The sequence below is a fragment of the Homo sapiens genome, chromosome 10, assembly GCF_000001405.40.
Source record: "Homo sapiens chromosome 10, GRCh38.p14 Primary Assembly".
NCBI lineage: Eukaryota > Metazoa > Chordata > Mammalia > Primates > Hominidae > Homo > Homo sapiens.
Genome location: NC_000010.11, coordinates 42,160,335 through 42,173,193, shown reverse-complemented (window position 1 = coordinate 42,173,193; position 12,859 = coordinate 42,160,335). Strand labels below are relative to the sequence as shown.

Here is a 12,859-nt window from a genome sequence, read left to right as displayed (position 1 = left end):
CGTTGTAGTTTTCCGCTCCAGAATTTGTTATCTCTGTTGATATTCCTACTTTTTAATATTTGTTCTGATTCCTTGATTTCTTTGTTTATGTTTTCCTTTTGACATTTGAGTATAATGAAGAGAGTTGTTTTAAAGTCTTTGTCTAGTAAGTTTGATGTCTGGGTTTCCTTAGAGATATTCTCTGTCAATTTGTTTTTTTTCTTTGAATGAGCCATACTTTCCCATTCTTTGTATGCCTTGTAACTTTTTTTGAAAACTGGACATTATAATAATTACAATTACTATGTGGTTACTCTGTAAATCAGAACCCCCCCTACAAACACAGTAATGTTTTGTGGTTTTAAATTTTCTTTTCTTATTATATTGTTAAGGATTTTTTTTAGTGAAATTTTCCAAAGTGATTTACAAAACTGTTTGCTTTATAAGGTGTGGTCACCAAAGGCTTTTTGTTTCCTTAACAAATGTTAAGCTAATGTTTTGACAGTGATTTTCTTGTATGTCAGGAACTAAGAAAACAGGCAAATACAACAAAAACAAAGAAAAACAAGTAATCATTATCCAGCAAAATATGTCTCTAGGCCATGCAGACTAGCTTTGTGCTGGGTTCTTTAAAGCCGCCACAAAGTGTGCGTTCACTCTTGCACTGAGTGAAGTTCAAGTTCACTCTTGCACAGAGCTTGCACTGAGGGGAGGGATCGGCCAAGGTAAAAGTGTAGGGTCTTCTTATGTCATTTTTCAGCATATGGCTTAACCTATGCATACATGTGACTTTCTAGACTCTCCCATGTACGTGAATGATTTTGAATGTCTTAGTTTTCCAAATACTCTTCTCCAACTTTTCTTCCTGTGCTGAAGGTGATCTACTATATGTGTAAACTCTAATTTTTGCCCTAAGCATCCGTGGTTTGTTAGGTCTCCTTGCAGAGTTTCTTAAAAATGTCCATTCCTTATATGTTCTTTATTCTAGCAACACAGAAAAAAACAGCCTTTCATGAGTCCTTTAGATATCCCCCAGACCTGTCTGAACAGACACTCGAATCCATTCGATGATTCCACTCGATTCCATTTGATGATGATTCCATTCGACTCCATTCGATTCCATTCGATTCCATTTGATGATGATTGCATTCGATTCCATTCGATGACGATTCCATTCGATGATTGCATTCGATTCCATTTGATGATTCAATTCGATTCCATTCGATGATTATTCCGTTCGATTCCATGTGATGATTCCATTTGATGCCATGCGATGATGATTCCATTTGATTCCATTCCATGATTCCATTCGATTCCATTCGATGATGATTCCATTTGATTCCATTCGATGATTCCATTCAATTCCATTCTGATTTCATTCAATTCCATTCAATGATTATTCCATTCAATTCCTTTCAATGATTCCATTCAATTACATTCAATGATGATTCCATTCGATTCCATTCGATGATGATTGCGTTCGATTCCATTCGATGATTCTTTTCGATTTCATTCGATGATGATTCCATTCGATGACTCTATTTGATTTCATTCGATGATGGTTCCATTTGATTCAATTCGATTTGTTCCATTCAATTCCATTCGATGTTTCCTTTCAATACCATTCGATGATGATTCCATTCGATTCCACGTGATGATGATTCCATTCGATTCCATGAAATGATGATTCCATTCGATTCAATTCCATGATTCCATTCGATTCCATTCGATGATGATTCCATTCGATTCTATTCGATGATTCCATTTGATTCCATTGGATTATTCCTTTTGATGATGACACCATTCGATTCCATTCGATGATTCCATTTGATTCCATTCGATGATCCCATTCGATGATTATTCTATTCGATTCCATTGGATGATTCCATTCAATTCCAGTTGATTATTCCATTCAATTTCATTCGGTGATGATTCCATTCGAGTTCATTCGATGATTACATTTGATTCCATTCGATGATTCCATTCGATTCCATTCAACGATGATTCCATTTGATTCTATTGGAAGAAGATTCCATTCTATGATGATTCCATTTGATTCAATTCGATGATGATTCCATTCGATTCCATTCAATGATTCCATTCAATTCCGTTCGATGATGATTCCATTCAATTCCATTTGATGATTCCATTCGATTCCATTCAATGATGATTCCATTTGATACCATTGGATGTCTCCATTCGATTCCATTCGATGATGATTCCATTCGATTCCATTTGTTGATTCCATTTGATTCCATTTTATGATTCCATTCTATGATTCCATTCGATTGCATGGGATGATTCCATTCGATGATGACACCATTCGATTCCATTCGAAGATTCCATTCTATTCCATTCAGTGATTCCATTTGATGATTATTCCATTCAATCCCATTCGATGATTCCATTTGCTTCCATGTGATGATGTTTCCATTCTATTCCATTCCATGATTCCTTTCGATTCCATTCAAAGATGATTCCATTCATTTCCATTCGATGTTTCCATTTGATTCCATTCGAGGATTCCATTTGTTTCCAATCGATGTTTATTCCATTCGATTCATTTTGACGATTCCATTCAATTCATTCGTTGATGATTCCTTTCGATTCCATTTGATGATGATTGCATTAGATTCCATTCGTTGATGATTCCTTTCGATTCCATTTGATGATGATTGCATTCAAATCCATTCAATGATTCTGTTCGATTCCATTCGATGATTTTTCCATTTGATTCCATTTGATGATTGAGTTCGATTATGTTCTATGATTCCATTCACTTCCATTTGATGATGATTCCATTCGATTCCATTTGATGTTTCCATTTGATTCCACACGATGAGGATTCCATTTGATTCCATTCAATGATTCCATTTGATTCCATTCAATGATGATTCCACTCGATTCCATTCGATGATTCCATTCGATTCCATTCGAGGATTTCATTTGATTCCATTTGATGTTTTTTCCATTCAATTCCTTTTGATGATTCCATTCGATTCCATTCGATGATGATTCCATTCGATTCCATTCGATGATGATTCCATTAGATTCCTTTCAATGATTTTTTTCGATTTCATTCTATCGTGATTCCATTCAATGATTCCATTTGATTCCATTTGATGATGATTCTGTTCGGTTCCATTCAATTTATTCCATTAGATTCCATTTGATGATTTGTTTCAATACCATTCAATGATGATTCCATTCGATTCCATGTGATGATGATTCCATTTGATTCCATTTGATTATTCCATTCGATTCCATGCGATGATGATTCTACTCAATTCCATTTGATGATTCCATTCAATTCCATTCAATGATGATTCCATTTGATTGCATTCCATGATTCATTTCAATTCCATACGATGATGATTCCATTCGATTTCATTCGATGAATCCATTCAATTAAATTCGAGGATTCCATTCGATTCCATTCAATGATTATTCCATTCAATTCCATACTATTATGATTCCATTCAATTCCATTCGATGATGATTCCATTCGATTCCATTCGATGATTCCATTTTATTCCATGTGATTATTATGCCATTTGATTCCATTCCATGATTCCATTTGATTCCATTTGATGATAATTCCATTCGATTCCATTCCATGATTCCTTTCAATTCCATTCTAGGATTTCATTTGATTCCATTTGATGATTATTCCATTCGATTCCTTTTGAAGTTTCCATTCAATTCCACTCGATGATGATTCCATTCGATTCCATTCGATGATGATTGCATTCGATTCCATTTGATGATTCTTTTTGATTTCATTCGATGATGATTCCATTCGATTCCATTCAAATATGATTCCATTCGATTCCATTTGATTCCATTCGATGATTCCTTTTGATACCATTCAATGATGATTCCATTCGATTCCATGTGATGATGATTCCTTTCGATTCTATGCGATGATGATTCCATTCAATTCCATTCGATGATTCCATTTGATTCCATGTGATGATGACTCAATTCGATTCCATTGGACAACTCCATTTGATTCCATTCCATGATGATTCCATTCAATGATTCCATTCGATTCCATTCAATTATTCCATTCGATGATTCCATTCGATTCCATTGGATGATTCCATTTGATGATGACACCATTCGATTCTGTTCGATGATTCCATAGAATTCCATTCGATGATTCCATTTGATGATTATTAAATTCGATTCCATTGGATGATACCATTCATATCCATTCGATGATGATTCCATTCAATTCCATTCGTTGATTCCATTTGATTCCATTCGATTATGATTCCATTTGATTCCTTTTGATGATTCCATTTGATTCTATTCAATGATTCCATTTGATTCCATTTGATGATGATTCCATTCGATTCAATTAGATAATGATTCCATTCATTCATGATTCCATTTGATTCCATTCGATGATGATTCCGTTCAATTCCATTCGATGATTCCATTTGATTCCATTTGATGATGATTCCATTTGTTTCCATCTGATGATTCCATTCTATTCCATTCGATCATGATTTCATTCGATTCCATTGGATGACTCCATTTGATTCCATTTGATGATGATTCCATTCGATTCCATTCAATGATCCCATTCAATTCCATTCTATTATTCCATTCGATTCCATTCGATTCCATTGGATGATTCCATTCAATGATGACACCATTCGATTCCATTCGATGATTCCATTCAATTCCATTCGATGATTCCATTTGATGTTTATTCCATTCGATTGCATTTGATGATTCCATTTGCTTCCATGTGATGATGTTTCCATTCGATTCCATTCCATGATTCCATTTGATGATGATTCCATTTGATTCCATTTGATGATTCCATTTGATTGCATTCGAGGATTCCTTTTGATTCCATTGAATGATTATTCCATTCGATTCCTTTCGATGATTCCATTCGATTCCATTCAATGATTCCATTCGATTCCATTCAATGATTCCATTCGATTCCATTGGATGATTACATTCGATGATGACACCATTCCATTCCATTCGATGATTCCATATGATTCCATTCAATGATGCCATTCGATGATTATTCCATTCGATTCCATTGGGTGATTCCATTCGAATCCATTTGATGATGATTCCATTCAATTCCATTCGTTGATTCCATTTGATTCCATTCTATGATGATTCCATTTGATTCCATTCGATGATTCCATTCGATTCCATTCAATGATGATTCCATTCAAATCAATTTGATAATGATTCCATTCAGTGATGATTCCATTCGATTCCATTCGAAGATGATTCCTTTTGATTCCTTTTGATGATTCCATTGATCCATTTGATGATTCCCATCGATTCCATTTGATGATGATTCCATTCGATTCCATGTGATGATGATTCCATTCGATTCCATCAGATGATTCCATTCGATGATGACACCATTCGATTCCATTTGATGATTCCATTCGATTCCATTAGATGATTCCATTCGATGTCTATTCCATTCGATTGCATTTGATGATTCCATTTGCTTCCATGCCATGATGTTTCCATTTGATTCCATTCCATGATTCCATTCGATTCCATTCGATGATGACACCATTCGATTCCATTTGATGATTCCACTCGATTCCATTTGATGTTTCCATTCAATGATTATTCCATTCGATTCCATTGGATGACTGCATTCGATTCCATTCGATAATTGTTCCATTCAATTCCATTCGATGATTCCATTCGATTCCATTCGATGATGATTCCATTCGATTCCATTCTATGATTCCACTCGATTCCATTCGATGATGATTCCATTCGATTCCACTCGATGATTGCATTCCCTTCCATTCGAGGATTTCATTGGATTCCATTCGATGATTATTCCATTCGATTCCTTTCAATGATTCCATTTGATTCCATTCGATGATGATTCCATTCGATTCCATTCAATGATGATTCCATTCAATTCCATTCGATAATTCCATTCGATTCCATTCGATGATGATTCCATTCTATTCCATTCCATGACTCCATTCGATTCCATTCGATGATTATTCCATTCAATTCCATTCGATGATTCCATTTGATTCCATGTGATAATGATTCCATTAGATTCCATTCCATGATTCCATTCGATTCCATTCATTGATGATTCCATTTGATTCCATTCGATGATTCCATTCGATTCCATTCTAGGATTTCATTCGATTCCATTCAATGATTATTCCATTCAATTCCTTTTGATGATTCCTTTTGATTCCATTCGATGATGATTCCATTCCATTCCATTCGATGATTATTCCATTTGATTCCATTGGATGATTCCATTCGATTCCATTCAATGATGATTCCATTCGATTCCATTTGATTTATTCCATTCGATTCCGTTCGATGTTTCCTTTCGATATCATTTAATGATGATTCCATTCGATTCCTTGTGATGATGATTCCATTCGATTCCATGTAATGATGATTCCATTCGATTCCCTTCCATGATTCCATTCAATTCCATTGGATGATGATTCCATTCGATTCCATTTGATGATTCCATTTGATTCCATTCAATGATTCCATTCGATGATTATTCCATTTGATTCCATTGGATGATTCCATTCAATTCCATTCGATGATGATTCCATTTGATTCCGTTTGATGATTGCATTCTATTCCATTCGATGATGATTCCATTTGATTTCATTCGATGATGATTCCATTCAATTCCATTCGATGATTCCATTCGATTCCATTTGATGATTCCATTTGATTCCATTCAATGATGATTCCATTCGATTCCATTCGATGATGATTCCATTTGATGATGATTCCATTCGATTCCATTCGATGATGATTTCATTTGAGTACATTTGATAATGACTCCATTCAAGTGCATTCATTGATGATTCCATTCGATTCCATTTGAGGATGATTCCATTCGATTCCATTCAATGATGATTCCATTCGATTCCATTCAATTATTCCATTCAATTCCATTCAATGATGATTCCATTCGAGTCCATTCGATGATGATTCCATTCAAGTCCATTTGATGATGATTCCTTTCGATTCCATTCGAGGATGACTCCATTCGATTCCATTCGATGATGATTCCTTTCGATGATAATTCCATTTGAGTCCATTTGATGATGATTCCATTCCATTCCATTCCACTATATTCCATTACATCCGATTCCATTCCACTCCGTTCCACTCCTCTCCACTCCACTCCATTCCATTCCATTCCATTCCATTCCATTCCATTCCATTCCATTCTATTCCACTGCTTTCCATTCCATTCCTTTCTTTTGAGAGTGTCTCACTCTGTCACCCAGCCTGTAGCGCAATGGCACAATCTCAGCTCCCAGTCCATTCCATTCCACTCCACTCCATTCAATTCCATTAGATTCAATTCCATTCCATTCCATTCGAAAAAGAAAAAGAGTTGCAAAGTCATACTCACTTTTCTGTTCTTGTCAGACAGTTAAGGGTTCTTTGAATACTCCAGCCCTAATAATTTTCTTCCTAACATACATATTGCAGTGATTATCTAATTTTAAATATATTTTTGTTTCAACACCTAATTTTTTATTTAGATCTATCTGTATGTTTACAATATATTTTGCTCTGTGTTCACTCTTTGATTTCAGAACTTCAACATTTCTGAAGAATATTTTCAGAGATTCTCTTTAGTTTCTTTAGTGGAATTCTGCTGGTGGCATTTTGTTTTCTGTCTCTAAATATGTTATTTAGCCATAGGTTGATGAATATTTTTCTTCGTTGAGAATTTCAGAATGGCATTATTATTCTTAGCAAATAATATTGTTTATTTTACCTTTCATTTTTTCAGATTTCAATATAACTAAAAGTAATTTCATTTTTCTAGTGCTAATTGAAATATTTTTCCCTTCCTGGTTGTTTACTATTTCTCTAGGAGATACATAGGTGTAGGTTTATCTCCATTATAGCTTGCTTAGCATGCATAGAATTTTTGAATATGCAGATTAGTGTCTTACAAAAGTCTAGAGAACTTTCACCCAAAATATCATCACATATTGTCCCTTCCCAGTTCCCTTCTTCTATGAGAACACTCACTAAACACATGCTACACTTTCTCACTGTATCTTCCATGTCTCTTCATCATTCTGTCCACATTTTCCTTTTTTTTAAATTTTCTGTAATGCATTCTGAAATATTTATGAACTCTCACCATAGTCATGTCTAATCTGATGAGTTCATTTTTGAGTTTTTAATTTAAAATAACTATATTTTTATACAAACTTCTTTTCAAATTTGCTACATCAATTTTTTAGTCTCCTAACAATATATTCTTTTTTAAAAAAATTTTTGAAAGCAAATGTGCTTTATAATCTAAGTGATAGATCTACTAAGGAACCTTTGTGGATCTGTTTGTACTCCTTTTCTGCTTTCCTTTCAAATGGTGGAATATCATTTCCTTGCATACTTAGATGCCTTTGAATGACAAATATTTATTTTTCTCTGAAAATTATTTTTGTGCACTTTTGAGGATTTGTAAGTAGAAAATTTGCCAAAGAGAATTTGAATTTTTTTGTGATTCTACTAAAGGCACCACCATTCTGGGACCACATTATGTTAATTCTTGGCCTAAAGGGATTTGGACGTATGTTTGGGTTGCACATTTAAACAATTTTTAAATTACTTGCTCTAAATCATTAGTGATTGAGTTTCTTTAAATCTGTCCAATCTCAAGTCATTTTTATTTGCCATTTCCAGGGAATGTGAAATGGGACTAATTTACCTCTGATTCTTCTTTATACTCAGGATATAAATTTTGGTCCTAGCTTTAGGGAGGAGCTCCTGTGTGATGCTCTATCTTGGGAAAAACTATGTATTTCTTTACTGTCTTATGTGATGTATGACAGTAGGAATCTGCACTCATTCATTTTGGTACACGTCCATAAGGCAAAATCAGTTTCGGTGTTTAGTTATATTTTGTCTGCTCCCTGCATTCCCATGGTTTTGACCTTATATTTTACTTTTTTTGTGAACATACCAGTGCTTCAATTTTTTTCCAGTAATATATTCAACTGCATTATGAGAAAGAGAAAAATTTTGATAAAACACAAATTTCATGTTTTCCTTCTCTAATTGGCTTTTACTTAAAATTACAGGTAAAATTTGTTTGTGCTTTTTTGCTATTTCTGTTTTACTATTCTCTGTTTGTCTATGTCTTCTCCACATAGACACAATTAGGGAATTTTGTACACTCTTGTGCCAACTGCTTTGATAGTAACAAAATGTATTTCTCGAACTCCTAGGTATAAAACTCAAGTATCCACAATTTAAATTCTTTTTCCCTCACTTCTATTATGTTTCCAGTCTCAATAGAAATTGATGCAAATCCAGAAATACAAGCATTATTCTAATACTTCTCACACATTACAGGTATAGATTAAATTTTCTAGATCTCCTTAAATACTATCATTTTTCACTACTTGTACCTTAACTGTTAAGTTCAACATTTTCTATAATATTAATATGTTGTGAAAATTTCCTTACTTTCTTATTTGTCCCAAGTTCAAGGTTTTGCAGTCTCTACCTCACGCTGTGAAGCATAAACGTTCTACATGCTGTACAAATAATACATACTTCATGTGCTTAGAGATTGCACAATTTTTATTTGGTTGACAATAACTAATGTTTTCTTCATTTTCTATTTCCTGATTTTTCTTTATTTAGTATGTGCTACATTATCATAAAAATAAGAACGTTTTACAAACTAAAGCAAAAGCAACCCTAGGAAAAAAATGCACAAATAAAATATATAAACATACAATTAGATGTACCATGTACCCTTCTAATTTATTTAGACATTTAATTGTAGTACAATTTTAATTAAATTCTGTGTATTATCTGCCATCGTCTTAGTATTTTTTATATAACAAATTTTGTAAATCAAAAAGTCTCAATGTCATTATAAACTATCTTGGCAGAGGTTGATGTCCAAGGAATAATTTCTCTCCCAAATTATGTCAATCAGAATTTCACTCTACCATAATTCTTTTAATCAGTTTCAGAGGAATCATACATTTCAAAATTGTTCAGGGTAGTTGTTGTAGTTCAAGTACATTTTGACAGGTGTAAAACTGTAGACAGACTGATACAAACATATTCTAATTGACTCAAAACTTTATGGGACCTATTTGTTTGATAAATGTAGTGTCTTTTTCCATGCCTGTCGCATCTCTATTGCTCATTTATTTTTCTCTTTGTCCCTTATAGGGAGCATTGCCTATCTCTAGATTAAGCAAAAGTTGTATCTTAAAAAAGCACAATAACCTGCTCAATCTTTCTCATACAGAGAAATGTTTGTTAAGTAATTAAAGTGTAGATGATGATACAGAGAGCTTGATTAAAAAAGATGCCAAAGTACCCTTGTGATTCAGAATATGAATGGTATTTAATGCCTTTGAAATCAATAATTGCTGAGTGACATTAATTAATGCCAATATTTCAGAAGTTGTTCTGGTTAGTGAAATGTGTACAACATGTAAAAGTTTCCGAACTCTGAAGGGCAACATTATTCTATAATTAAGAATTAAGAATTAATTCACATTAATTATTGGGGAGAAATAATTTTAAGAATTAATGACTGAGAAAACGTTTTTATTTTTTATTTAGAAAATTATTTTGTGCATGAGCATTACTGCAAGTTTTACAAGAAACATAAATTTATAGAAATAATTATTGCACAAGATGAATTTAATAACATCTTGATATTTTCCACTATTACCGTTGTATTTGGTAAATCTTTAAATGCCCATCATCTAAAGATAATAAATGAATCTTGGAAATCTTGCAGGTAAGGGTAAATATAAGGATGCATCCAATTACATTTACACACACATATAATTACGTTTACACAAACATACATGCACACATGCTCACTGATACAGGTATGCGTATATACACATGAATTTACCAATTGATTTTAACTAATATTTATAAGAGCCTGTAGGATTGATATATATTGCTGAACCTGAAAAATGTTTATTATATACATGTTTAAAATACAAAAAGAAATAAATAGTAATTGCACTAGGCATTTGAAACTGTACTTAAATATAAGCTGTGAACATTTTGTGATCATTACAAATTCTTACACTGAATAAATATTTTTAGTTTTATAATATGTTTGATACATTTGTACATTTTAAAAAATGTACTATTTTATTTTTGTCATAGAGTCATGTCATGCATAATAACATTTCAGTCAAAGATGGATTGCATATACAAAAGTGTTCCCATGAGATTATAATACACATTTTTACATACTTTTCTATGTTTAAGTATGTTTAGATACATAACTTCTTACCACTGTGTTCTTATTGCCTGCAATATTCAGTACAGTAATGTAGTACACAGGTTTGTAGCCTAGGAGAGAGAGGCTCTACCATATAACCAGACATGGTAGGCTGTACAAACTAGGTGTTTGTAATATTCTCTCTGACGTTTGCAAAATGATGAAATTGCCTATGGATGCATCTGTTAGAACGTATCCCTATCACTCAGTGATGTGTGACTGTACTAAAATGCTCAATCTAAGTTTCAATGTCCTCCATAAAATTGTTGTACTGTGAAATACAAATCTCTCACCCATGGCCTGAATATGTTTGCAAACTAAGCAGATCATGGGTAGGAGAATGTGCTGGCATCTCTGGGATGATTTTCTCACACTACATGAATAATATCTGCAGACTTTGCGAGTATGAGCCACTTGCATAGAGTTAAAGTAAGCATCCCTTTGCTGGGAAATTTATCAAATGGGAGCATGAAGTGTTTTTAAAAGATACTTGTTGGTTTGTAGATGGTAGGCCTACAGTGGCTCACGGCAATGGTTGAGGTTGCTAAGATTTGGTGGAAGGAGGCAAAATGAAATGGCCACTTATATGGTATATGGATCACTTGTTTCTGTTGAGTTACAGATTCAGCTGGCTATTTCTCCTAATGTTAGTTATTTGGAGAAAAATACATGATGGTAATTTTGGGGTAACAAATACAATATTTGATGAAAGCAAATTTTTGAGGATTAGACAAACTACAAGATAATTTAGGCTGCAAAGTCAACACGAGACTGCTGGCCCAAATTGTGCAGAGTTTGGGTCCAGATGCAAAGTTCAAAGGAAGAGGCCATATAAGACGATTCGCACTTTTGACACCAACTGCCAGATCAGGGTTTCCCCAGAACACCCTCAGTTTCAAGAATTTACTAGAAAGACTCACAGAACTCATTGAATGCCATTGTACTCATGGTTTATAATAGAGAAAGGGTAGAAATTGGACCAATCAAAGGAAAAGACATATCACATAAGGTGAAATCTAGGAGGATTTTGAATGTTAAGTTTCCATTGTCTTCAGGACATATTACCTGTCATTGTTGTACAGCAATAAACATGGAGTACTACCAACCTGGGGAGCTCACCTGATGCAAAAAAGACACTATTTCGAAAATGAAAAGACAAAGGAAAGGATGAGATAAGATGACCTTCCACATAAAGGCAATGGAAAAAATAGCAAACTAAACCTAAAGCAAGCAGAAGGAAGAAAATAAAAATTAGAGAAATTAATAATTTATAATATTGATCATATTTGTTAGTATTGACTAATTGATATTAATTCTTGACTAACTTTTTTTAAAAAGAGAAATATTCACTTCCCAATTTATTCTGTGGGGCCAGTGTTACCTTGATACAAAAATTAGTCCAAATAGCATAGAAAAATAAAACTACTATAAGTATAAATGCAAAATTCCTTAAAAACTACTAACAAATCAGATCTAGCAACATGTAAAAGAATTATGCACTATGACAAAGTGATATTTATACTAGTAATCTCAGGATGATTTAACAGCCCAAAATCCATTAAGGTAATACATCTTATCCAT

The 12,859-nt window shown here is 33.4% G+C and overlaps 4 annotated features.

Moving 5' to 3' along the window:
* Positions 4,067-4,585: an enhancer, noted in NCBI's record as "NANOG hESC enhancer chr10:42664057-42664575 (GRCh37/hg19 assembly coordinates)". NCBI's record gives its function as "activates a minimal SCP1, AML or CMV promoter by ChIP-STARR-seq in primed H9 embryonic stem cells {active_cell/tissue: H9 hESC(primed)}" and the evidence as "EXISTENCE:reporter gene assay evidence [ECO:0000049][PMID:30033119]".
* Positions 4,586-5,105: an enhancer, noted in NCBI's record as "OCT4-NANOG hESC enhancer chr10:42663537-42664056 (GRCh37/hg19 assembly coordinates)". NCBI's record gives its function as "activates a minimal SCP1, AML or CMV promoter by ChIP-STARR-seq in primed H9 embryonic stem cells {active_cell/tissue: H9 hESC(primed)}" and the evidence as "EXISTENCE:reporter gene assay evidence [ECO:0000049][PMID:30033119]".
* Positions 5,106-5,625: an enhancer, noted in NCBI's record as "OCT4-NANOG hESC enhancer chr10:42663017-42663536 (GRCh37/hg19 assembly coordinates)". NCBI's record gives its function as "activates a minimal SCP1, AML or CMV promoter by ChIP-STARR-seq in primed H9 embryonic stem cells {active_cell/tissue: H9 hESC(primed)}" and the evidence as "EXISTENCE:reporter gene assay evidence [ECO:0000049][PMID:30033119]".
* Positions 6,451-7,438: an enhancer, noted in NCBI's record as "OCT4-NANOG hESC enhancer chr10:42661204-42662191 (GRCh37/hg19 assembly coordinates)". NCBI's record gives its function as "activates a minimal SCP1, AML or CMV promoter by ChIP-STARR-seq in primed H9 embryonic stem cells {active_cell/tissue: H9 hESC(primed)}" and the evidence as "EXISTENCE:reporter gene assay evidence [ECO:0000049][PMID:30033119]".